Source organism: Homo sapiens, chromosome 10 (assembly GCF_000001405.40).
Source record: "Homo sapiens chromosome 10, GRCh38.p14 Primary Assembly".
NCBI classification, from domain to species: Eukaryota; Metazoa; Chordata; class Mammalia; order Primates; family Hominidae; genus Homo; species Homo sapiens.
In genome coordinates, this window is record NC_000010.11 from 133,518,123 (window position 1) to 133,541,599 (window position 23,477).

A 23,477-nucleotide genomic window follows, 5' to 3' on the forward strand; every position below is an offset into this window, starting at 1 on the left:
TTGAAAACATTTTAAAATGGCCTAAATAAATGGAAACAGATTCCACATCATGGATAGGAAAAATCAGTATTTTAAAGATATTTAATTCACAGAGTTTATGTGATTCTAATCAAAATCTCAAAAGACTTTTTGAGGAAATTTAACTAACTGAGTCTTAAAATTTGTATGCAAGGCACTCTTGAAATAAAAAACGGTGGTGGGACTCGAGGTATTGCTCCTCACAAGAGGGCATTAGCTGCAGGGGTGTGCCTGCAGACCCTGACCCAAACGATGGATGAATACAACGTACACTGACACAGAGATATTCTGCTTTGCCAGTCCAGCTCGGTGTCCGACAGCCTACACACCAAGAGAGGTTTGTCACTGTGGCTGGCTCTGAGCAGCTTGCACTTCAGGCATTTATTTAGTATACGCTTAACAACAGAAGCTCTGAGTCAACACACTTGTGGATAATTAACATGGTTAAGACGGTAGTTCTATGAATGATTAAAGCTCAGGTACCACGGTTTAAATACCATTAGGGGGCAATTTCCCTGGTCAACCTCCTCCGCACCAAGAGGGCCATCTGGCTCAAAGGTTAGTTAATGGAGGTAGGGTAAACAGACTTAACTGGGGAAGCCTCTATTGTCCCTAGTATTTACCCTATGACCTAATGCTCTAAGGTAAGAACCCGCTGCCTTCAGCCTGTTCAATTATTACAAGCTATGTAACCTTTCAGCCTTCCAAAAAGGTTTGTGACTATTCCCTATAACTTTCCCTAATATGTCCCTTTAATATTTCTGCCACCATCCTGAGTGAATCACCACAGGACTTGCACTATTTGATATCAATACTACTATAAAGCTATAATAATTAAAATGCTATGGCATTGGACCAGGGAGAGACAGGCCTCTGATGCATTCCCTGTGTAAGAACTTTGTCTTGTTTTGGAAGATGATTTGGGGATCAGAGACAGGATCCTGGGACAATTCATATCTATATGGGAAAACAAACTTCCTTAGTCCTTACTATGTACAAAAATAAATTCTACATAGATTTAGGGCATAAATGGGAACAGTAAAACCTTATAAATAAGCAGTTATCTTTATCATCTTTCTGGCTAGGAAAGGATTTTTCTTTTTGAGACATGGTCTCACTCCAACACCCAGGCTGGAAGAAGGGATTTTTTTAAGCTCAGAAAGTGCTAATCCAAAAATGCAAGACTGATAACTTGAGAACATCTGTTGATAAAAAGAATGCCATAAATAGTATAGAAAAGTAACCTAAAGAATGGAAAAAATTATTGCAACACATAGAACTGAGGACGGATCAGAATAAAGCATTCCTGCAAACAATGAGAGACCAAAACCCCAAGGGAAGAGGAGAGCAAAATACATAAAATACTTGAGTAGGCATTTCAGAGAAAAGTATGTATAATTTTGACAAGACAGAGATAGGGAGAGAAAGTTTCTCTACTTTATAATCAGGGAAATGCAAAATGGGACCACAGTTAAATATCATTTTATATTGACTAAATCGGAAAATATTAAGAAATTTATTAGTACATACTGTTGGGAATAACAGGAACACTTAGACACCACTGGACGCAGGTAAATGGTTCAAATACTTGGAAAACAATCTGGTTCCATGTATATTAGGTTGCCCAGGTATACACTTGGCCTAGAGATATTCTTACACAGTGCTCCAGGAATCATGTTCAAAAATGTTCCTAGTCTGCAGTAGCAAAACCTTGGGAATAATCGGACAGGACAGTGGTTAAACAAAGTGCCACATATTCGTATCTGTGGAGTCACAAAGTCGAGGAACTGCAGCAACACCTCACTACGTGGTAACGAAAAACGATGAGCAAAAAAATTCAAGCCTCCGGGAATATAAATGTTATGAAATCCCTTTAAAAATCCAATTACACAGTATAAAAAAGAAAATCACAGGGAACATTCAAAGCAAAATTCGGGACAGCGGCTACCTCTGGAGGGAGGCAGTTGGATGTGCGAGCTTCTGGTAGACGCAGCTTGAATGAGATGTTGTTTGGGGTTGGGAGTGGGCTGCCTGGGGTTCATACGTCACCACACTTGATAATTTACAGAAGCCTTTCACGCGTTTTTTCCTGTGTCTCAAACGGGGTACCAGGAGGCTCAGGGAAACAGCGCAGGCGCCTCCCCGGTGGCTTCTCTCTGGCGCCCTCTGGTGGGCGGGGCCCGGGTGAGCGGGGTCCCCTCGGGGCCTCAGGGAGCCGCAGCCCCAGCGGAACCAGGAGGGCGCCCTCCGCCCAGCCGCGCTGCCACTTCCGGGTTGTTTGCTCCCGGAGCCATAACCGCAGCTCAGCGTGCGGGCAGAGCCGGCTGACAGGAGACAGGACACAGCACAGAGCCCCGCGCCCTCTGAGGCGGGAGGCTTCGTTCCTGCACCAGCGTGGCTTGCCCTTTGGACGCGGCGAGGTTGTGTGTTCTCTGCTTTTGTTTTACTTGGAACAGATGTTTGGCTTTTGTCAAGGTCGTTATTTCCAGTGAAGTATGGCATCGAACATCAGATAGTTGCCCACACAAATGTCTGTTTTAAGGTTCTCAACCTTTTGACAATACAAAACAAGAGGAAGTTTCCAGGGGAAAGCCCTCAAATCAGCCATTCTGAGCATGTTTTCAGCCCCATCCGTACTCTCCTCCCTTCTTATCCAGAGCCTTTTGGGTGCCCAGAAGAGTAATATTCTTCTGCCTCGTAGCTCTGTGGTCCAAGGGTTTATGGCTACTGATTATCCTCCTAGAGCACTTCTGAGATGTTTTATGCTTTCTACTTGTGAGTGTGAAGGGAGGAGAGGCAAGTTTGCTGTCAGTCTGACAACATGTTTTTGCCACGTGATCTGCCACTGAAGAGAAGTTGGCTATGGAGGGAGGTCAAGTAGCCCAGGGAGGTGGGCATTCCAAGTGTACCTCCTCGTGCAGCCCACCCTCTCCACATAAAATTGGGTCCTGATTTTATGTGGAAGATGTTGTGTGTCTAGGAGCAGGAATCCATGGAAGACAAGATATGATATAGAAGAAACAGGCGAAGGGACTGGTACAGCATATATTTGAGGGCAAATAATCACTCGATAGGTGGCTGAAAATGTGAATGCCTTAGATAAAAATTAATTTATAAAACAGAAGTATATTTGAACAAATTTAAAACTAATATTCTAAAACTAAAATTCCTGAGATTTGGGGTAGAGTGTATATTGCAAGAGAAGTAGAGAAGAACAGTATGCTAAGGTCCCTTCTTGTTTAGATCAGAAGATATTGACAAATTATTCAAGTGAATAAAAAAACTATAGGTCTATATGTGTTTTCAGATTCAAGGGTAACCACCGGTAGAATAACAACAGGAGTCCAAATCATCAAGCAAAAAGAACAAACAAAAAATGATCAATCCGAACATAGGGAAAGGAAACACACATACACACATACATATACATACATACACACATGCACACACACACATGCACACACATACACACGCATACACACACACATACATTCACATCGTAACAGCCAAATTTAGTAATCGTGATAAATATGACCGTTTAATTCTATAAAAAGGAAAAACTTTCCGTTTATGTCAAAGCTATAGAATGTTTACAGGACACCTATCAAGAACAAAAATAACATAAAGATACTTTAAATATTATGATGAGCAGAGATAGACCAGGGAAATACTACGAAAAGCAAACACATGTAGCAACAGTTATCAGGGGAGTCAAAAAGATGTTTATATAACAGTAAAAGATACAATTAGAAGATTAATTGCCAATTTTAATACATATTAACATATCTGAGTAGATTTTTAAAATAAAAGATAATGTAATAAAACACGATTCTAGTCAGAGAAATCAAGGCACCTTACCTAGAAATGACAAGACCACATAGATCTTTTCTAAAGGCGACTTTTTTTTTTTTTTGAGACGGGAGTCTCGCTCTGTCACCCAGGCTGTACTGCAGTGGTGAGATCTTGGCTCACTGCAAGCTCTGCCTCCCGGGTTCACGCCATTCTCCTGCCTCAGCCTCCCGAGTAGCTGGGACTACAGGCGCCCGCCACTTTTTTGTACTTTTAGTAGAGAGGGGGTTTCACCGTGTTAGCCAGGATAGTCTCGATCTCCTGACCTCATGATCCGCCCGCCTTGGCATCCCAAAGTGCTGGGATTACAGGCGTGAGCCACCGTGCTCGGCCATAATGGTGACTTTTAAATTAAAAATAATTGATGGGGAAGGTCTTTTAGAAAACATTGTCTAAATTCCAAAGGCCATAAAGGAAAAGTCTGAAAAGTTTAACTGTATAAAAATCTAATTTTCTACATGGGAAATCAAACAAGAGACTGGGAGGAACTTCCAAACCATCAAACATGAAAACAACTACTATTTATTTGATAGACAAAGAGTCCTTAAAATCTGAGAGGAAATATGTAAAATCCCAATATGAAAAGGGAAGGAATTGTTTCATTAAAAAAGAAATTCAAATAAATAATCAGTAGATGAAAAGATGCTCTACTTCTTTATTGACCAGAGAAATGCAAATTAAAGTAATGACATATGAATTTTCAGTTATCGGTGACTGGCAGTATCTAGTGTTGGAGCAGATGTGTAGAAATTGGCTCTCCCATCCTACTGTGGGGGGTTTTAAGTGTTTCAACCTTTTGAGGAAGCAGTTTTATATACCTATTAACATTGTAAATCCACATATCCAGTGACCTAACCGTCCCACTCCCACAAAACTGACTTACAGAGATAGGTGCATGTCTGAACAAAGATACATCTACAGGGCACCATTGTGGCACCTTTTGTAACATAAATAGTTGGGGAAACCATTTGAATTGTTCATCAACTCAAAATAGACAAATTGTGAAATACAAAATGTAGTATGTGTGTGTATGTTTATATAAATTGTTTTTGAAGTTTGGAAGAATACACAGAATACTTACAACCATAGTATGGTACACACTATTGATTAGTAATCAATCCCATTCCTAATTCCCTTAATATTTTGACACATTCACTTAAAAGGTCTTTCCACTTTCCAGCCCCTCTTGCACAGAGGAGTGGTGACATTCTAACCAAGAATTTAAAAAATCTCAGATTTTCTGGAAGTTTCTTGGAAAGCTCTCATTTTCCTGATAAATAGGATAGACAAGAGAAGCACTTCTAGAATGGCAGGATAAGAAGCTCTGAAAATCTGTTCCTCCAGAACTGCAATGTGAACACCAGCTAAAGTGTTGAAAAATGAATGGAGCCTCAGAGACCTTTGGGACATCATCAAGGGTATCTAACAGGTACAATGGGAATCACAGAAAGAGAGAAAATAAGGGGACAAAAATACTATTTGAAGAAATAATGGGTGTAAATTCCCCAAATTTGATGAAAAAGATCCATCTACATATCCAAAAGCTTAATAAATGAATATTCATTTATTGTCATTTATTCATTTATTCTCAAAATAGAATAAATGAAAGGAGAGCCATACCTGCACACACTGTAGTCAAACAATCAAAGGGAAACTGGGAGTCCTGGAAGCAGCAAGAGTGAGATGAGTCGTCAGGTAAATCAGCCCTCGATAAAATAGCAGGAACCTGTTCACCCAAAACTGAAATGAGTCGTCAGGTAAATCAGCCCTTGATAAAACAGCAGGAACCTGTTCACCCAAAACCAAAATGAGTTGTCAGGTAAATCAGACCTTGATAAAATAGCAGCGCCTGTTCACCCGAAACCGAAATGAGTCATCAGGTAAATCAGCCCTGGATAAAATAGCAGGAACCTGTTCCGCCGAAACCAAATGAGTCGTCAGGTAAATCAGCCCTTGATAAAATAACAGCACTTGTTGACCAGAAGCCATGGGACCAGCAGGCAGTGAGATGACACAGTCAGGGCACTGAAGAAAAACACTGCTAACCAAGAATTCTATATCCAGAAAACATTCTTCCAAAAAGAGAGAAGTATTACAGCTCTTTAGAATTTGTCTAGCAGGTTTTCTGGTACCCTCCCCCATTAATTTATTAATTAAAATTTAAAATATGTCAGCCTTTTGGCTAAGATCAAATGTCAAAAAGAAAGAGAAATTAAGACATTCTTGGATAAACAACACCGAGAGAATTCACAAGCCTGTCATAAGAAATACTAAAGGAAGTCTCTTGGGTCAAAGTCAAAGAACACTAGTAACTCAAATGCACATTATACACAGAATTAAAGTAAGTGCCAAAAAGTATTTTAGTAGGTACAAAATTAAAACTGCAAATAATAAAAAGAGAATTAGCAGAATCTTTCCTTCTCAATGGGGTTTAAAATATGGAAGCTGCCTTTGTAGGGTGAATTTGGGACTCGCAGTTTCCACTTCACCCACTTTTGTGTTGTTTGCATTCGTTAAAAGGAGATATTTTACTTCCCCAATTAAAATTATCTTTCTAATCTTTATAAACAATTATTTAATTCCAGTAAATCTTCTCTATATTGCTTTACTAGTGAGTTCTATTAAAATTTTGAAGCACAGAAAATTCCCCTACAGTATAAAGTATCCCCAGTCACAGAGAAGACAGGGGTTTTGCAATGATTTCTAGAATAGTGCAATTTTTATGCAAGAACCTAATATAACACAAAAATTATAGCCCGATTTTATTTGTGGGTATAGATGCAAAATTACTAAAAATACTATTAACAAGTTGAATCCTTAGGGTGTTAAAAGAGTATCACTCCATGAACGAGTTGGTTGTGATGTGGAACTATGAGGTACTTTTATGATACAATATAAAAATTTATGGTAATTTTATGGTACATTGTGAGACAGTGTTTTCTTCTAGCATCATACTAGCAGGTCTATGGAGAAAAATCACAGGATTGTCTCAATCAAAAAAAGATTTCATTAACCCAACTCTCATCCCTGATAAACACTGTTAGTTATCTAGAGAAAGAAGAAAATTGTCCCAATACAGTCACCTCTTTGCCACACCCAGCCAACAGCAGACGTGATGGAAGCCTGAAGAACACCCTGCCACGGGCACAGGCAGAGGCACAGGCACCCTGTCGTCCTGATTATTTCACCTTGTCACGGGCAGAGGCACAGGCACCCTGTCGTCCTGATTATTTCACCTTGTCACGGACAGAGGCACAGGCACCCTGTCGTCCTGATTATTTCACCTTGTCACAGGCACAGGCACCCTGTCGTCCTGATTATTTCACCTTGTCACAGGCACAGGCACTCTGTCGTCCTGATTATTTCACCTTGTCACGGGCAGAGGCACAGGCACTCTGTCATCCTGATTATTTCACCTTGTCCTAGAGTGTCCTGCCAATGGGACAGATGCAAAACAAATAAAAGCCCCGGCTTCTGAAAAGAAGCACACAGAAATGTCATTATTTTCAAACGAGGTGTTCCCGTATATAAAATTTGATGTTGGTTGGGCATCTAACAGTATTATGGCCAGAGGACTCAGACCACAGCTGCATCCCTGTGAGGCACAGACTCTCCAGGGCACGCGGGTCCCGCCTGGGATGTGCACACTCAGGTGAGCTGCACAGACAAGGTGTCCTCAGCCCAGGGGAGCCAGAGGCCTGCTCTGCCTCTCCACCCTGATGCTTCCTGTTCTCACCCCACCAAAGCCAAGGCTTCAATTTCAGTCTGTGGGGAGCTGACTCTGCTGCTCTCAAGCACTAGAAGAAGGAACCAGTAATCGAGGAAACTTGTGGACCCCAATGGGTGTCTGTCCCGGCCAGGCCTGGCTGGGCCCACACAGGACAACAGGGTTCAGGGGTCTGGACAGCTGTTTCTGCCCAGGGAATTGTCCCTGCCACCTCACACTGGCCACTGGAAAGGAAAGAGAGGAGGAGGCGGCAGGCTAACCCACCCGTGAGCCAGTCGAGTCTACATTGTCAGTTCTCACCTCGAGGGGTGCCAAAAACCAGAGGGAAGCAAAGGCCCCTGAAGCCTCTGCCAGAGGCCAACGCCCCTTCTTGGTTCAGGAGAGGTGCAGTGTTAGGTGCAGCACAACCAATGACTTGCTTATGTGGCTAATAAATTGTCAAGAGAAAAACTGGGTTAGAATGCAATATATAGTATGTAGTCTCATTTTTGTATAAATACAAGTATAGAATGGCATAACTCAAAATCCACAAGTGATTTGGCTGGATTGTAAATGACTTTTATTTTCTTCATTTCTCATCATATTTTCTATTATACATAAAGATTCATTGTTAATATAAAAGTACAAAATTGCAACCTATGAATTAAGAACTTCTATATATTGCCAGTTAGAAGACAGAATGAAAAACATTCTCTTCATTCTAACCACACACACAAAAAAGCTCCACAAAATACCTATGGACTACCTTCATAGAAGGTGGAAGAGGGTCTGTATGAAGAAAATAATTAATACATGAAAGAAGAAGCTAGTCAATGTGGAGCTCTATTGTGTCCCGGGATCAACAAAGACAAGATATCTTTAAAATCGTCTTCTAAATTTACCCTAATGTAAAACAAATCCAATAAAACTCTAATGTAATTTTTTAAGAATTTAAATTTGGAATAATTCCAAAGAACAATTTTTCTTAATTTTCTACAGCCAGAATATATACCTTTAAAAAAAATGAAAACAGAGATTAACTTTCTCAGAATTGGTTGACTCACTCTTTCCTTTTATTTTTCTTCCATGGAATTTTCCAGTTAACTTGAGAAAGTGGAATCGAATTCCGATGTTGAATTTTCCTTCTGGCCCCATTCATGTGGCAGGTGGTGATTCAGGTACTACTGGGGGCTGCTCAGACAAACCTCCTCATCAGACATCAAGAGGCTGTTGCACCAGGAGGGCCGGTACCGTGTCTAGAGGTGGTCGGCATGGGGTTGGAGTTGTATTACATAAACCCTACTCCAAACAAATGCATGGGGATGTGGCTGGAGTTCCCCGTTGTCTAACCAGTGCCAAAGGGCAGGACGGTACCTCACCCCACGTTCTTAACTATGGGTTGGCAACATGTTCCTGGATGTGTTTGCTGGCACAGTGACAGGTGCTAGCAACCAGGGTGTTGACACAGTCCAACTCCATCCTCACCAGGTCACTGGCTGGAACCCCTGGGGGCCACCATTGCGGGAATCAGCCTTTGAAACGATGGCCAACAGCAGCTAATAATAAACCAGTAATTTGGGATAGACGAGTAGCAAGAGGGCATTGGTTGGTGGGTCACCCTCCTTCTCAGAACACATTATAAAAACCTTCCGTTTCCACAGGATTGTCTCCCGGGCTGGCAGCAGGGCCCCAGCGGCACCATGTCTGCCCTCGGAGTCACCGTGGCCCTGCTGGTGTGGGCGGCCTTCCTCCTGCTGGTGTCCATGTGGAGGCAGGTGCACAGCAGCTGGAATCTGCCCCCAGGCCCTTTCCCGCTTCCCATCATCGGGAACCTCTTCCAGTTGGAATTGAAGAATATTCCCAAGTCCTTCACCCGGGTAAGAGAAATAGTGTTGATTTTAGGGAGAATAACTCAGCAATTGGATCTGGTATGTGTGTATTCAACTCATTTGCAGACAAATTGTGGTTGTTCAATACCAGCCTGTTGTGAATTACCTGAATTGATAGCATCCTGGAGCGACACTCAAAATGTGTCGCCTGTGGTGCAGCTGGAGCCCGGAGCCTGCGTGCCAGGCCCCGGAGGCCCCCGCCGGTGCCTTGTCCTGGGGCTGATGATGGGGAGGCCGGCGAGGCCGGGCTGCTGCGACGCCAGGATAACCGGGCTGGCGGCCAGATGCGCACTCGCTGGGCGTCCGCCTGTGTTTGCCAAAGCACGAGTTGAAACGTGAAGTGTTGGGCCAGCCCGTGTGGCACCAATACCTGCCGCCTACGACTGTTGTGAACACTGAATGGGCCAACAAACCTAAACGTTAAATGAACTGATAACGCCGTCAGCACGGAGCAGGCGCTGGGTGTTTGCGCTCTTGCGCGTGCGCTCTGTGGGGCGCAGGCTGACGGCGGGCGGGGGTCGCCTGCTCCAGCTCGGGCTCCCGCGCCAGAACCGGGTCCAGAACCTTGATTCCGGAAGCGGGCAACGGGGTGGTTGGTGGGCGCGCCTGAGGGAAGGGACGTGAGGAGCCGGAGTCCGCGGAGTTGCCGCGGAGTTGTCCGCGGAGTCCAGGCGGGTGGGGAGCAGAGCAGCTGGAACCCCCCGAGCGCCCTGCAGACGCAGCAGCCTCTTGAGGGGAGGGTCTCCCCCACCTCGGGCTGGACAAAGACAGCTTTTCCCCACGTCCCTCTGGGTTCTCTAGAGCAACAGCAATACCCGCCCGGCAGGGGTGTGGCTTAGAGCCCCGCACCTCCTCGCCGCGCGGCGGGCCTGACTTCTAGCCACGGGTCTCCGCAGTTGGCCCAGCGCTTCGGGCCGGTGTTCACGCTGTACGTGGGCTCGCAGCGCATGGTGGTGATGCACGGCTACAAGGCGGTGAAGGAAGCGCTGCTGGACTACAAGGACGAGTTCTCGGGCAGAGGCGACCTCCCCGCGTTCCATGCGCACAGGGACAGGGGTGAGTCCGCGTCCCTGGCACGGAGCGGGGGGTGCATAACACGCCCCGGGACAGTTACGGGCGCTAGCCACGTCGGCGATGGCCAAATAATAAACTAACAGTAATATTATAGTAACAGCATCCGAAGGATGAGATCAGGATTAGGGCGATGGCCCCCGCGCGTTGCCTGCGGAGCGAGGCGCACTGAGTCGCCCAGGAATCCGGCCTCTCGGCGACTGTGCGGGAGAGTTTATGGGGATGGGCGGGGCTGCTTCTGAGCAGGAGTCGCCGCCCCCACCCCCACCGTTCCGCCTCTGGGCCCGCAGGCTCCTCCCGGGAGCGCTTTCCCCTCCTGTTCAACCGCCGGGGTACAGGTGGCTTCGTCCACCGAGGTCCCCTCACCCACGCTGAGGCGTCGGAAGCTGCGGACACTGCTCGCTTCAGGGCTTTGCTCAGCTGCAGCTGGTGACCTCCAGAGAGGGAGTCTCTGATGTCCCGCTGGGGTGGATGTCCTGAGACCGGGAAGGGGGAAGAGACCCACTGAAATCCTATCTCCCAGCCTCACCTCTGCTGTCTCCTCCACGCTTCCTGTCTCCAGAGCCCCGAGTTCAGCATAAGCAGAAAGCGGCCTGTTCCCTCTCTAGGGAGAGGAGGGTTGCGGTCTGGAGGTCTGGCTCGTCTTTATCTGCGCATTCTCCCAGCCTCCTGGCTTCAGACCTCAGCGAGGCGGCGGCTGCCGGCCGGCTCTCCTCTTCCTGCCTGCAGACCTGGCCTGCTGCTTCTTTCTCCTTCCTCCCTCCCTGCCTGCCCTGCGGTTTCAAAGTAGATTAGAAATAACAGTGTCCCACATGGAAGCCTCTACTTCTTCCTGGGTCAACTTTGATGACGAGGCTCCAGAAAACCTTTGCAATGCTGTGTGGAATTTTTAAATCGGTGAGCTCGTGCTCTTGCCCTATTTATTTGTCCAGCGTACATTTCTGAACATTGTGAACGTCGAATGGGCCAACAAATCTAAAAATTAAATGAGCTGATAAAGAACGCCGTCAGCACAGAGCAGACGCTGGGTGTTCGCGCTCTTGAGCGTGCGCTCTGCGGGGCGCGGGCTGGTGGCGGGCGGGGGTCGCCGGCTCCAGCTCAGGTTCCCGCGCCAGGACCGCGTCCAGAACCTTGTCTCCGGAAGCGGGCAACGGGGTGGTTGTATCACAATTAGTGGCATTTGGTTTTCCTTCTTCTGCATTGTGGGTTTTACTTCTCTGGGGTTGCCAAAAACAAAATTAACCATCTCAGTCCTTGTCGTTAACGCAGGAGAAGCATTACTGGAGGAGGCTCTGGGGTTCTGTGGTTGAGGAGCTCAGTTCTGGTTCCGGGGAGCCCTTATCTGCCACCCACGGGTCCAAGGCACAGTCGGAGGCAGCAGGGAGGGGAGCGGAATTCACATCAACACAGATGGGGCTCAAGGGGACTTTGCTGCCTCTGCCTGGAGGGTCTAAAGTTTCATTTTCATATGACCCGCAGGGCGCAGACTGGCGGAAAATTAGCAGAGCCCTGGGCATGGGCTGCACCTGGCCCTTAAGGGACAATGATGGAAATATTCCTTATTAGCACAATACTGAGCACAGGCTGTGTGATAATGTGTCAAGGGAACTGCAGACATCCTTTCAGAAAAAGTTCATAAAACGGAGAAAGTTTGGTTCCCAACCTAGATTTTTAACCTGTTGAACTCTGTCTAAATGGGTCATCTCGGGATGTCCTCCACTCAACATGACCACGTCTGCCCCTCTGTCCCACCTGTCTCCTCAGTCCTTCCTCCCCACCTTTCAGGATGAAATGAAACCCTCAGTCCAGCTGCACCCCTGCCCCACCCACCTCATCTCATGTGCCCTCCCGCCCCTCTCAGGCCGGACAGCCTTGCTTCTGGAACACACGAGCACAGCTTCACCAGGCACTTTCTGAGCACCCTGCAGGCGCCTCCCAGGAGTGGTCAGTGGTCAATCAGCTAATGAAGCTGCATAGGACATGACCCTTGTTTACCGCAGAATGCCCAGAGCTGGCAGGATGTCTTATATGCAGGAAGTACCCAAAATGTATTTATTGAGGAAGTGATGATGGATAAGAGGAAGACGGAGAGCGAGGGAGAGAGGGGCTAGGGGCCCCTGCGGTGTAAAGGGGGTGTGGCTGGGAGTGTGCAGGGGAACAGGGATCATTTCAAGGTTCCTATCTGGGAGAAAATAAAAAGGTTTACAGTTAGTTGAGATAAGCGTGGGAATATGCGAACATTTTTAAAGAATAAAAAGTTTAGCTTTAAATTTGTTGATTCCAAATGTGTTCATACTCTCGGGAGGATCCATCAAGCAACTCTTGGGAGGAGAGACAGGGCAGGGCCAGGCCTTGACAGCTCAGAAGGGTGCAGTAGGGACAGTTCTTGGTTTTCCCAGCTCTGATGCTTTGCACAGTCACTTGTGTGACCTGCAAGATTTTAGTGAAGAAACTTGCTGTGGAGTCGGAAAGCTGCAAGTTGAGGTGTGTGTGGTGTGAGGGTTAAAAATCTGTGAGAACAGAATGAATGGCTTTTCAAGAATGTTGTCGATAGATAGGAAAGAGGTGGGAGGTGTTCTTGGAGTGGCCATATGTGGTTTTATGTAGCATGGGGAAGACTCAGCAGAAAGGAAAAAGAAAGAAGGTAAATTGACAGCATGAAGTAGAGCACCCAGGAGAGGCTACATGTGATGAAGAAACCACAGTGCAGACTGTGAGGACCCCAGAAAGGCTCCTCCCCAAAACCTGACCAGTGGCCGGTGCTGGCAGCTCCCAGGCTGGGACACCCCTCTGTCTCTCTGTCCCTCTGCCCCCTCTGTCACTTCTTTATACACCTGTAAATCCTGCCCTGCTCTCCAAGGCCCTCTGTAGCCCATTTCTCCCCAAAATGGGTATTTAGAATAACCTTCTGCTGGCCCCTCTGCCTTAGGAATCATTTTTAATAATGGACCTACCTGGAAGGACATCCGGCGGTTTTCCCTGACCACCCTCCGGAACTATGGGATGGGGAAACAGGGCAATGAGAGCCGGATCCAGAGGGAGGCCCACTTCCTGCTGGAAGCACTCAGGAAGACCCAAGGTGCGTATCTGCTGCCTAGCAGGGCCCAGTCCTCTTGCAGACCAGCGGTGTGGGGAGCCCTGGCTGGGACTCCTAGACTGCATCTGAACCACAGGGACCTACGGACAAGGAGAGGGTCTCGTGAGTCCCCAGATACTGCATTTTACAACTCTAGGTTCCAGCTACACAGTTCAGGGAGCAAGGGTGGCCATTAAACACGTGACTTGTATCCTAAATACTGTTGAAAAGCAAAGGAAACTCAAACAGGTTCAGACATTCACTATCTTTCGTAAACTGGCAGTTTTCAGGGCACCTTCTCACAGGCCTTGGTGAACCTCAGTGGGTGACTGAGCAGGTGGAGGAGTCTCCTCACCCCCATCTTCTGGTTGCCCTGACTGCCTGTTTTGTAGGCCAGCCTTTCGACCCCACCTTCCTCATCGGCTGCGCGCCCTGCAACGTCATAGCCGACATCCTCTTCCGCAAGCATTTTGACTACAATGATGAGAAGTTTCTAAGGCTGATGTATTTGTTTAATGAGAACTTCCACCTACTCAGCACTCCCTGGCTCCAGGTGAAGCCACTTTCCTCTTTCATCAGTCATCAACTGTAGAGTTTACGTTAGAAAAAGAAGGAAAATTTGGGTTATATGTGATAGACAGGACTGCAAAAGCCAAACAACATAGCTTCGAGGGGTGTTTGATTAGACAGCCCAAATATTCCTCCCAGAGACATCTCTGGGGCCCCACGCACCCCCTTTCCTAACGTCAGGATGTGTATCGACCTGTGTGTGCACATTTGCCATGCAGAGTTTGCACTGCTGAGGAGAATGGTGCCCAAGAAGGACACTGTTGACCCAAAATATTCCAAATAAACAATGATTACAGCCACAAATTCAGGTTTGGAGAAAGTTGTTGGTCCAACACACACAATTATGTTGCATCCAGAAAAAAGTAGTAAAATATTTTTTTCCCTCTCTAGCTTTACAATAATTTTCCCAGCTTTCTACACTACTTGCCTGGAAGCCACAGAAAAGTCATAAAAAATGTGGCTGAAGTAAAAGAGTATGTGTCTGAAAGGGTGAAGGAGCACCATCAATCTCTGGACCCCAACTGTCCCCGGGACCTCACCGACTGCCTGCTCGTGGAAATGGAGAAGGTAGGCTCGGCCCTCCCATGATGTGGGCTCTCCGGGGTGGGCAGAGAATGCACAATTTCAGATTTACAGAGTGAGCTGCACTTGCTGGTGTCCAGACCTCCCACCGCAGCATGCTCTGAGTTTCATACACACACTCTTGGCTTCAGCATGACCACTGGACGCAAGTCAGCCTGCCTGGCTGCCAAGCTGGCCTGGGGCTTTGGGGTCACATGGGCGGGACGCTTAGCTCTCTCCAGGCCCTGCTGCTCAACCCTTTCTAGTCTGCAGACTTTGAGAATTGCATTTTGTCTGAGGAGAAGCCCTCAGCCTTCCTTGTGGGCATGCACTCCCCAACTGTGCGCAGCTGCAGGACTTCCAGGCCTCCCCAGCTTCATCCACCTGCAGGTGCTCAGGATCCTGATCCCCTGCCCCCTTCCCACCTTGGTGAAACTTCTTGTATCCTTGTCTTGTCCTTTCCTATGGCTTGTGGCTCAAGAACAAATGTGGAGCCCACACTGATTTCCCAGGACTGTCTGAGCATCTTCTCCACCAGTTTGGCCCCTCGTGGCAGCAGACACTAGCCCTGTAGCAGGAGGGGTTAGCAGGAGCCGTTTAGCTCCTGCCTGAGCTATGACCAAGGTCAGGGGGATCTCACCTCTCCCAGGATGGCCCTCATGCTGTGGAGGGAGACAGAGCCCTGGCCTGCCCTCAGCAGATTTCTGGGAGCCTCAGTTTCCCTGGCTGTGAGGTGGAGATGACTCTGTCTGTCACAGCTCCAAGTCACAGTTCCACTGGGAGAGCCTCTTGGACACTGTCTCCTGTGTCCCTGTGGAGCTGGGAGGTGGCTGGTTCTGTGCTGAAAGGAGACAAGCAGCCCCTTCTCCTCCGGTCTGTCTCCGGTATCACAGGAAAAGCACAGTGCAGAGCGCTTGTACACAATGGACGGTATCACCGTGACTGTGGCCGACCTGTTCTTTGCGGGGACAGAGACCACCAGCACAACTCTGAGATATGGGCTCCTGATTCTCATGAAATACCCTGAGATCGAAGGTAGGCAAGTGACTGAAGGGACACCGTGCGTGCGGCTGCATCTCCCTGGATGGCCAGCCTTGCACATTTTAGGCTGCAGCTTTCTGTCTGAAGCTGCTTGTTAACCCTCATGGTGATGTGGTGAGATGGCTAGATGCACTGCTGTGAGGGGAGGTGTTATGGTCTGTGCTGAACACCTGGTACTCTTGCACACTGGTTGGTCCATACCCCACTAAGACACCCCTGGTTGCAGAAAAGAACATCCCAACACCAGAGTGGAGAGAGGTGGCAGGGTCTGCATTCTGCTCCATAAATAACCTCTTTATGACAGAGAAGATAATGTCCCAGTTCCCCCCAAGTAAGACCTGGTCTTCTAGGCAGAGCAGGTGGGGAGGTTGGAGCTGGAGGGGAGGGTCCTTGCTGGGGCGTCTTCCTCAAATGCGGACGTGAGGAGGGAAGTCCAGGAAGAAGCAGCTACAGCTGCCCTGGACCCTTGTTCCTTCCACAGGGCTCCTCCCAGCGGCACCTGGGGCAGCTGGGACTCTGTGCCTGGAGGAGGTGTGAAAGGTCTGGGTCTAGGTGGGCAGAGGGTCATGCCCTGAGAAACACCCATCTGGGCCAAGTAGAGGTGATGTGAGGGCACCCGCATGCAAACAGGCCAGTCAGGGTTGGGTCCAAGTAAAGGGGAGGAAAGGGAGCTGCAGCCTGGCTGGAGAGTGCCGGGGGGCCCAGAGCCCCTGCCTCTCGCTGGGCTGGAAACAGGGCTGGGCAGCCTCTGCCCGAGGCAGTTCACAGCCTGAGTGGTGTGTGCCGCCCTCCTCCTGAAGCTGCTGCTAATGGTCACTTGTGGTCTTAAGGCTCGTCAGTTCCTGAAAGCAGGTATTATAGGCTATGAAGTTATTTCCCCCAAGAAAGTCGACATGTGATGGATCCAGGGTCAGACCCTGGGCTTTTCTTGTTCTTTCCTTCTTCTTCTTCTTTTTATTTATTTATTTTTTTTTTTGAGGGGACAGGGTCTCACTCTGTTGCCCAGGCTGGAGTGCGGTGATGCAATCATGGCTCATTGTAGCTTCTACCTATTGGGCTCAAGCGATCCTCCCACCTCAGCCTCCCAAGTAACTGGGCCACAGGTGCACACCACCACACCCAGCTGATTAAAAATTTAAAAAAATTATTTTGGCTGGGCACAGTGGCTCATACCTGTAATCCTGGCACTTTGGGAGGCTGAGGCAGGCGATCACGAGGTCAGGAGTTCGAGACCTTCCTGGCCAACATGATGAAACCCTGTCTCTCCTAAAATACAAAAAAGTAGCCGGGTGTGGTGGCACGCGCCTATAGTCACAGCTACTCAGGAGGCTGAGGCAGGAGAATCGCTTCAACCTCAGAGGCACAGGGTGCAGTGATCCGAGATTGCACCCCACTGCACTCTAGCCTGACAACAGAGCAAGAATCAGTCTAAAAAAAAAATTGTAGAGACAAGTTGTTACTATGTTTTGTAGGCTGGTCTTGAACTCCTGGGCTCAAGTCATCCTCCTGCCTTGGCCTCCCAAAGTGCTGGGGTTACAGGTGTGGCCACCGTGCCCCATCCCTGGCCTTTGCTTTTTCAATCACATGGAAATGTGAAGGGTGAAGGAGCCAAAAGTTTAGGGAAGGAATCATTGTATGGATCTGCAGTGATTATAAGAGAACTTTCGACTACTCTGCACTAGGGGAACCATGGAATCAAAAAATGTTTTAAATTATTATTTATGAGGAGGTTCCAATATAGACAAAAGGAAAATAAATATGATTGACATGTATATATCCATTGCCAAATTGAACGTTTATTAACATTTTGCGATACTTCCATCAGAGCTCTTAAAAAGAAAATGTGTTACAGAGCCAGCCAAAGTCTACCTCCTCACATCTCCCCACCTCTCTCACCAGAAATGGCTTCAGAATTGCTGTGTGGCTTTGCACTTTTAACAGTTGTTAATTATCAGCACAGTATTCATATTATTGCTGTATGTGTTTAATATTTTACCTGGGTACTGTACATAACATTTTGCAGCTTGGTTTTTTCACTCAACATATGATGATGTTCCATGGGAACTCCAAACACGGGGAGGCTAGGCGACTTGCTCAAGGCAGCTGTTACCTCTGTCAGAAAGACAGAGGCTTTCAGATTCAAGAAGTAGACCCTGCATGTCTGATTCTGTTCTGTAAACCCCCTTCATACTCAGAAGCATGCAATAAACAAGCCTGGGGTAATTATCAATGCAAAGGTTACCCTCCCAGAAGAAATTTCCAAAACACTTTCATTATTCTCTGCTCTTGACATGAAGAGAACTGAATAAGCCATCATCAACTGAGATAATGGATGCCAAAACATCCAGTAAATAACCTCATAGAGCTTAGCTCTCACTAAGTTTTTGGAGCATTTTCCAGTAATTCAAAGGACCTGGGGAACCTTAAGCACTGCTTAGGATGCTCCATAAACATCTTCTGCGTGGGTAGGGGAGTGGATGGATGGCTGGATGGGTGGGTGGATGGACGGACGGATGGATGGATGGATGGATGGATGGATGGTTGGATGGATGGGTGGGTGGATGGATGGATGGGTCAATGGATGTGTGGATGGATGGAAGGGTGGGTGGATGGGTGGATGGTTGGATGTATAGATGGGTGGATGGGTGGATGCTTGGATGGATGCGTGGGTAGGTGGATGGAGGGATGGCTGGATGGATGGGTGGGTGGGTGGGTGGGTGGATGGATGGGTGGATGGGTGGTTGGGTGGATGGATGGATAGGAGGGTGGATAAATGGGTGGATGGATGGATGGGAGGGTGGATAAATGGGTGGATGGGTGGATGGTTGGATGGATGGGTGGGTGGGTGGATGGATGGGTGGTTGGATGGATGGGTGGGTGGGTGGATGGGAGGGTGGATGGATGGGTGGTTGGATGGATGGGTGGGTGGGTGGATGGGAGGGTGGATGGCTGGCTGGCTGGGTGGGTGGGTGGATGGATGCATGGGTGGATGGATGGAGGATGGATGGATGGATGGAGGGGTGTATAGATGGAGGGGTGGATGGATGTGTAGGTGGGCAGATGGATAAAAGCGTGATTGAATAGATGGGTGGATGATGGGTGGATGCCCAACTGGCCAGGAACCAATCCCTGAAATTTGTCCCATTCATATCTTGGCAGAGAAGCTCCATGAAGAAATTGACAGGGTGATTGGGCCAAGCCGAATCCCTGCCATCAAGGATAGGCAAGAGATGCCCTACATGGATGCTGTGGTGCATGAGATTCAGCGGTTCATCACCCTCGTGCCCTCCAACCTGCCCCATGAAGCAACCCGAGACACCATTTTCAGAGGATACCTCATCCCCAAGGTTAAGCAATGAGCCTGCAGCACACAGCATGAACACCATCCTATCAGCTAATCGCCTTCCTGCCAGGGAGCAGGATGGGGGCCCCAAGACCCTTCCCTTTGGCAGGGGTCACTGAGGGGAAGGGCTGGCCCCACTCCCACCCTGTGGGATACTGCATCTCCAGGAGTGCTCACATTGGCCTGGTGACCAGAGAGGTGGAGGAAATCTGGAAAAGAGCCTCAGCAGATAGTGCCTGGGACTGTAGTGAATTCTAATGCCAGGAACAAACTATCACAACCAGCCCTGGGGTTAATCCTGTGAGAAGATTAGGGCTTTCATCTTCATTTAGACCTGACCCCTGACTGCTTTCTATCTAATCCTTCACTAAGCAACTCCTTCAACTGGAAATATACTATCCTATATAGCATAATATTCAAAACTACATTCTTCACTGGGGGTTTCCAGATGAAAGCCCACATTTTGTTAACATGACTCACTGAGACAGTCTTTGTTTCTCCTAGGGCACAGTCGTAGTGCCAACTCTGGACTCTGTTTTGTATGACAACCAAGAATTTCCTGATCCAGAAAAGTTTAAGCCAGAACACTTCCTGAATGAAAATGGAAAGTTCAAGTACAGTGACTATTTCAAGCCATTTTCCACAGGTGAGAAAGATCAGAGGCAGTACCTTCCCTTGAGGAGCAGCCCACACTCCTCATCTCCCCTCCACATGTGCTCTGCCCTCGTCCCAGGCACCCACTGACACCCCAAACCTCACTGTGTGCCCTGTTTCTATTGACAACATGACCCAAATGTGCTCTTCCCTGTTCAGAGAAGTTACATAACATCTTTTAGCAGCAATCCTGGGAATGAAGTGTTGTTGTAGGTGGATTTTTTTTTTCCCAAAGACTAGACATTTTACATCATTCATTGCTAAATTTTGTTTCTATTTTAACAAGACTTAGTGAAAAGCTCTCAAAGCCATATTACCCAATTCTCCCTAATTTTAAACCAGAGCTACTAAACAAAACCTAACCTTTGGTTACCTAGAATCATCACAGGAAGCATCAAAGCCTTCCTGGGATGTGACTCAGTGATTTTCTTTGAGGCACTTGTCCTCCTTCCCAGGGCCTCATCTTAGGGATTGTTGTGGGAAGATCATACAACCAACTCCATACTTTTCACACCCAGTGCTGGAGCCCCAGCTTCTAACAGGGCACTATTTCCCTCCTGTAGGCATCACTGATGAGCACTGGGGGTGCCTTCTTTACTGGGCAGACACGGTCTTCCCAACTTAACACCGGTTTTTGCAGTTGAGCTCTGGATAATTGAGATTGTATGAAGACTGGTCCCCGAATTAGTCAGTGTTGCTGGTATCCTTCCACTCAAGTACATTTTGTGCTTCTTTTAATAGGCAGAGAAGGGTGAGTCCTGCCTTGTGATGGCCGTTTGCCCACAGCCTCCTCCTCCCCGCTTCCCCTAGTCTCACTGTTAACAGTGTCGTGTCTCTGAAACTCCCTCAGTGTCTCATCAATACCATTGTTACTTCTAGGAAAACGAGTGTGTGCTGGAGAAGGCCTGGCTCGCATGGAGTTGTTTCTTTTGTTGTGTGCCATTTTGCAGCATTTTAATTTGAAGCCTCTCGTTGACCCAAAGGATATCGACCTCAGCCCTATACATATTGGGTTTGGCTGTATCCCACCACGTTACAAACTCTGTGTCATTCCCCGCTCATGAGTGTGTGGAGGACACCCTGAACCCCCCGCTTTCAAACAAGTTTTCAAATTGTTTGAGGTCAGGATTTCTCAAACTGATTCCTTTCTTTGCATATGAGTATTTGAAAATAAATATTTTCCCAGAATATAAATAAATCATCACATGATTATTTTAACTATATGTTAAGTCATGGAATATCTTAATTGTTTAAGTGATTCTCACAGAGAGGTTTTTTTTTTTTTTATTTTTGTTTTTTTTTTGAGAGTTTTGCTCTTGTTGACCAGGATGGAGTGCAGTGGCATGATCTTGGCTCACTGCAACCTCTGTGTCCTGGGTTCAAGTGATTCTCCTGCCTCAGCCTCCCGAATAGCTGGGATTACAGGCACCCACCACCATGCCAGCTAATTTTTTGTATTTTTAGTAGAGACAGGGTTTCACCATGTTGGTCAGGCTGGTCTTGAACCCCTGACCTCAGGTGATCCACCTACCTCGGCCTCCCAAAGTGCTGGGATTACAGGCATGAGCCACCGCGCCCAGCCAGAGAGAGGTTTTAAATATATATGTTTACTTTAATATTAAGTTATAACATAATTTTCATGTTATTGAAAAGCTCTTCCATCTAGGATCACACAACTTCAGTGTCAGAATCATATTGAGGTGGGGAATTTGTATTAGTCAGGTTTCTCTAAAGGGACAGAAACAATAGGATAGATGTATATACGAAAGGGAGTTTATTAGGAGAATTGACTCACATGATCATAAGGTGAAGTCCCACAATAGGCCGTCTGCAAGCTGAGGAGCAGGGAAGCCAGTCTGAGTCCCAAAACCCTAACAGTAATCCTTTCCTAACGTCAGGATGCGTATCGACCTGTGTGTGCACATTTGCTGTGCAGAGTGTGCACTGCTGAGGAGAATGGTGCCCAAGAAGGACACTGTTGACCCAAAATATTCCAAATAAACAATGAGTACAGCCACAGATTCAGGTTTGGAGAAAGTTGTTGGACAACTCACTTTATGGGACAAGTTAATAAATAAGATTTTGCAAACCCAATTGCACTATCATCCTCACTATTCTGGAAAGGTTGAATGGACTAATGGTATCTTGAAGCTAAAATTAGTTAAACCAACAGAGTCAAGTGTTTTATCTTGGTCAAAAGTTTTTACCACTAGCCTTAATGGTAATTAGATTAACCCCTGTGGGAAAACACAAACTAACCCCTTATGAAATAATTACTGGAATATCTATTCCTTTGATAGTACGATGTTGTGTATTCCCTGTACTTGTTAGCTCTGATGTGACTCGACAATGCAAGGCCTTGATGCATTTTACAAATGTACATTTCCACCAGTTGAAGTAGGCTTTCTGTGAACCACCAATTGAGAATGTTCAGATCTTCCATCACCTAGAACCTAAAGATTGGGTCTTTTGGAGATGACACTAGAGAAAAACTGCCCTTGAGTCTCACTGAAAAAAACCATACCAGGGTCTTCTTACTACTCAACACTGCAGCAAAGCTTCAGGGTCTTGAGTCTTGGGTTCATGTCTCTGAACTAAAGAGAGCTCCCTTGGATTCTTGGACTTGTCAACCCATAGGTGACTTAAAATTGAGAATATCCAAGGGAAATCTTTTTTAGAAACAGATGGCATCGCAAAGTTGACAGCTTTCCCAAAACGGTTCACGGAGACTTCATTTGACTCTTTTTCATTGACTAAGATTTGTTTTTGTTTTGCATTAATGTAAAGATGTTCAAACTTCCTCTTTTGTTAGGAACTTTCACTACTCAAACCAAACATCCTCTAAGTTCTACTGTGCAGAGTATAGCCACTCTCACTAACTGAAGCAATTGCTGACTATGTCATCTAGTTATATGGGAAGAATCAAAAGTAATATTAGAACCTCATCCCATACACATTTGGGTGAGCAATTCAGGAAGCTGACTTTATCAAAACGTTTGGTATCCTTCCCTTGGCAGATTGGTTGATTTTTTTTCAATGTATAAATATTATCATTCTGTGTTTGTTTCTTGATTGTGAAAACATTTGGAGAGAACTGATTATTATAATCAGAGCTAGGAAGATTATCAAATAATGTTGCTGCTGCTATTTGAACGGGTGGCCTGCCTCTCCACACTTGCGGGCGTTTCTCGTTGGGTGGAACGAGAGACTTAAGAAAAGAAAGAGACACAGAGACAAAGTATAGAGAAAGAAAAGTGGGCCCAGGGAACCAGCCCTCAGCATAAGGAGGACCCACGCCGGCACCAGTCTGTGAGTTCCCTTAGTATTTATTGATCATTATCAGGCATTTCTCAGAGAGGGGGATGCGGCAGGACAATAGGGTAATAGTGGAGAAAAGGTTAGCAGGAAAACATGTGAACAAATGTCTCTGCATCATAAACAAGGTAAAGAAAAAAGTGCTGTGCTTTTGATGTGCATATACATAAACATCTCAATGCCTTAAAGAGCAGTATTGCTGCCAGCATGTCCCACCTTCAGCCCTAAGGCGGTTGTCCCCTGTCTCAGTAGATGGAATATACAATCGGGCTTTACACCGAGACATTCCATTGCCCAGGGACGAGCAGGAGACAGATGCCTTCCTCTTATCTCAACTGCAAAGAGGCCTTCCTTCATCTCTTAATAATCCTCCTCAGCACAGAC

The 23,477-nt window shown here is 46.8% G+C and overlaps 1 protein-coding gene, 1 long non-coding RNA gene and 1 pseudogene across 3 annotated transcripts in view, besides 19 other annotated features; 2 read left to right on the forward strand and 1 right to left on the reverse strand.

The window, feature by feature from the left end:
• Positions 1 to 8,837, reverse strand: part of LOC105378575 (uncharacterized) — a 35,536-nt gene extending 26,699 nt beyond the window's left edge. Inside the window, exons 1-2 of one of the 2 annotated variants that reach the window (XR_946512.3) lie at positions 8,638 to 8,837; positions 1,549 to 8,021 (exon numbers count right to left, since the gene is read on the reverse strand). This is a non-coding gene — a long non-coding RNA (uncharacterized LOC105378575). Of the gene's footprint in view, positions 1 to 1,548 lie in introns of both variants that reach the window. The other variant, XR_007062396.1, reaches the window with a different exon arrangement.
• Positions 2,081 to 2,280: a silencer, noted in NCBI's record as "silent region_2984". NCBI's record gives its function as "represses an Ori minimal core promoter by ATAC-STARR-seq in GM12878 lymphoblastoid cells {active_cell/tissue: GM12878}" and the evidence as "EXISTENCE:reporter gene assay evidence [ECO:0000049][PMID:35858748]".
• Positions 5,529 to 9,248: a promoter, noted in NCBI's record as "-3710/+25 promoter fragment". NCBI's record gives the evidence for it as "EXISTENCE:reporter gene assay evidence [ECO:0000049][PMID:17353354]".
• Positions 5,529 to 9,336: a biological region, named in NCBI's record as "CYP2E1 5' regulatory region". NCBI's record gives its function as "regulatory_interactions: CYP2E1".
• Positions 5,538 to 5,858: an enhancer, noted in NCBI's record as "59 bp repeat enhancer region". NCBI's record gives the evidence for it as "EXISTENCE:reporter gene assay evidence [ECO:0000049][PMID:17353354]".
• Positions 5,551 to 5,607: a tandem repeat, noted in NCBI's record as "59 bp repeat". NCBI's record gives the evidence for it as "COORDINATES:motif similarity evidence [ECO:0000028][PMID:17353354]".
• Positions 5,611 to 5,669: a tandem repeat, noted in NCBI's record as "59 bp repeat". NCBI's record gives the evidence for it as "COORDINATES:motif similarity evidence [ECO:0000028][PMID:17353354]".
• Positions 5,673 to 5,730: a tandem repeat, noted in NCBI's record as "59 bp repeat". NCBI's record gives the evidence for it as "COORDINATES:motif similarity evidence [ECO:0000028][PMID:17353354]".
• Positions 5,691 to 5,720: a protein binding site, noted in NCBI's record as "GATA site". NCBI's record gives the evidence for it as "EXISTENCE:protein binding evidence [ECO:0000024][PMID:17353354]".
• Positions 5,734 to 5,792: a tandem repeat, noted in NCBI's record as "59 bp repeat". NCBI's record gives the evidence for it as "COORDINATES:motif similarity evidence [ECO:0000028][PMID:17353354]".
• Positions 5,795 to 5,830: a tandem repeat, noted in NCBI's record as "59 bp repeat (partial)". NCBI's record gives the evidence for it as "COORDINATES:motif similarity evidence [ECO:0000028][PMID:17353354]".
• LOC124902569 (uncharacterized) lies at positions 5,955 to 6,003 on the forward strand (annotated as a pseudogene).
• Positions 7,007 to 7,288: a tandem repeat, noted in NCBI's record as "-2178 to -1945 tandem polymorphic repeat region; contains 6 copies of 42 bp, 48 bp, or 60 bp repeat units". NCBI's record gives the evidence for it as "COORDINATES:motif similarity evidence [ECO:0000028][PMID:10491286]".
• Positions 7,688 to 7,694: a transcriptional cis regulatory region, noted in NCBI's record as "NFATc1 site". NCBI's record gives its function as "mediates activation by interleukin 4" and the evidence as "EXISTENCE:site-directed mutagenesis evidence [ECO:0005528][PMID:20723539]".
• Positions 7,866 to 8,278: an enhancer, noted in NCBI's record as "-1372/-960 fragment; C allele at rs3813867 increases enhancer activity". NCBI's record gives the evidence for it as "EXISTENCE:reporter gene assay evidence [ECO:0000049][PMID:1778977]".
• Positions 7,879 to 9,336: a promoter, noted in NCBI's record as "1.4 kb promoter". NCBI's record gives the evidence for it as "EXISTENCE:reporter gene assay evidence [ECO:0000049][PMID:10825386]".
• Positions 8,567 to 8,694: an enhancer, noted in NCBI's record as "-671 to -544 element". NCBI's record gives its function as "mediates activation of promoter by interleukin 4" and the evidence as "EXISTENCE:reporter gene assay evidence [ECO:0000049][PMID:15345327]".
• Positions 8,659 to 8,675: a protein binding site, noted in NCBI's record as "TonE; overlaps STAT6 site that is important for activation by interleukin 4 (PMID:20723539)". NCBI's record gives its function as "mediates stimulation of transcription by hypertonicity" and the evidence as "EXISTENCE:protein binding evidence [ECO:0000024][PMID:17440116]".
• Positions 8,695 to 9,248: a promoter, noted in NCBI's record as "EcoR1/SmaI fragment; -539 promoter". NCBI's record gives the evidence for it as "EXISTENCE:reporter gene assay evidence [ECO:0000049][PMID:3233219]".
• Positions 8,920 to 8,944: a transcriptional cis regulatory region, noted in NCBI's record as "HNF4 site". NCBI's record gives its function as "mediates activation of promoter by hepatocyte nuclear factor 4 alpha" and the evidence as "EXISTENCE:site-directed mutagenesis evidence [ECO:0005528][PMID:25238230]".
• On the forward strand, positions 9,241 to 21,001 carry CYP2E1 (cytochrome P450 family 2 subfamily E member 1). Its single transcript, NM_000773.4, has 9 exons — positions 9,241 to 9,450; positions 10,359 to 10,518; positions 13,463 to 13,612; positions 14,002 to 14,162; positions 14,570 to 14,746; positions 15,634 to 15,775; positions 18,941 to 19,128; positions 19,629 to 19,770; positions 20,658 to 21,001. Exons 1-9 carry the CDS (start codon positions 9,274 to 9,276, stop codon positions 20,840 to 20,842), a joined length of 1,482 nt encoding a protein of 493 aa, NP_000764.1. The 5' UTR covers positions 9,241 to 9,273; the 3' UTR covers positions 20,843 to 21,001.
• Positions 13,266 to 14,465: an enhancer, noted in NCBI's record as "BRD4-independent group 4 enhancer chr10:135344892-135346091 (GRCh37/hg19 assembly coordinates)". NCBI's record gives its function as "activates an origin of replication core promoter dependent on BRD2, P300/CBP, MED14 and CDK7 cofactors, and independent of BRD4, by STARR-seq in HCT116 cells {active_cell/tissue: HCT116}" and the evidence as "EXISTENCE:reporter gene assay evidence [ECO:0000049][PMID:35650434]".

What these genes read in the sequence shown, in the direction of transcription:
- CYP2E1 (NM_000773.4), top strand. Translation starts at nt 9,274, where the DNA reads ATGTCTGCCCTCGGAGTCACCGTGGCCCTGCTGGTGTGGGCGGCCTTC. An exon ending in CCATGCGCACAGGGACAGGG is followed by an intron (nt 10,519 to 13,462) that starts GTGAGTCCGCGT and finishes CCTCTGCCTTAG; the next exon opens with GAATCATTTTTAATAATGGA. An exon ending in TTTCAAGCCATTTTCCACAG is followed by an intron (nt 19,771 to 20,657) that starts GTGAGAAAGATC and finishes TGTTACTTCTAG; the next exon opens with GAAAACGAGTGTGTGCTGGA.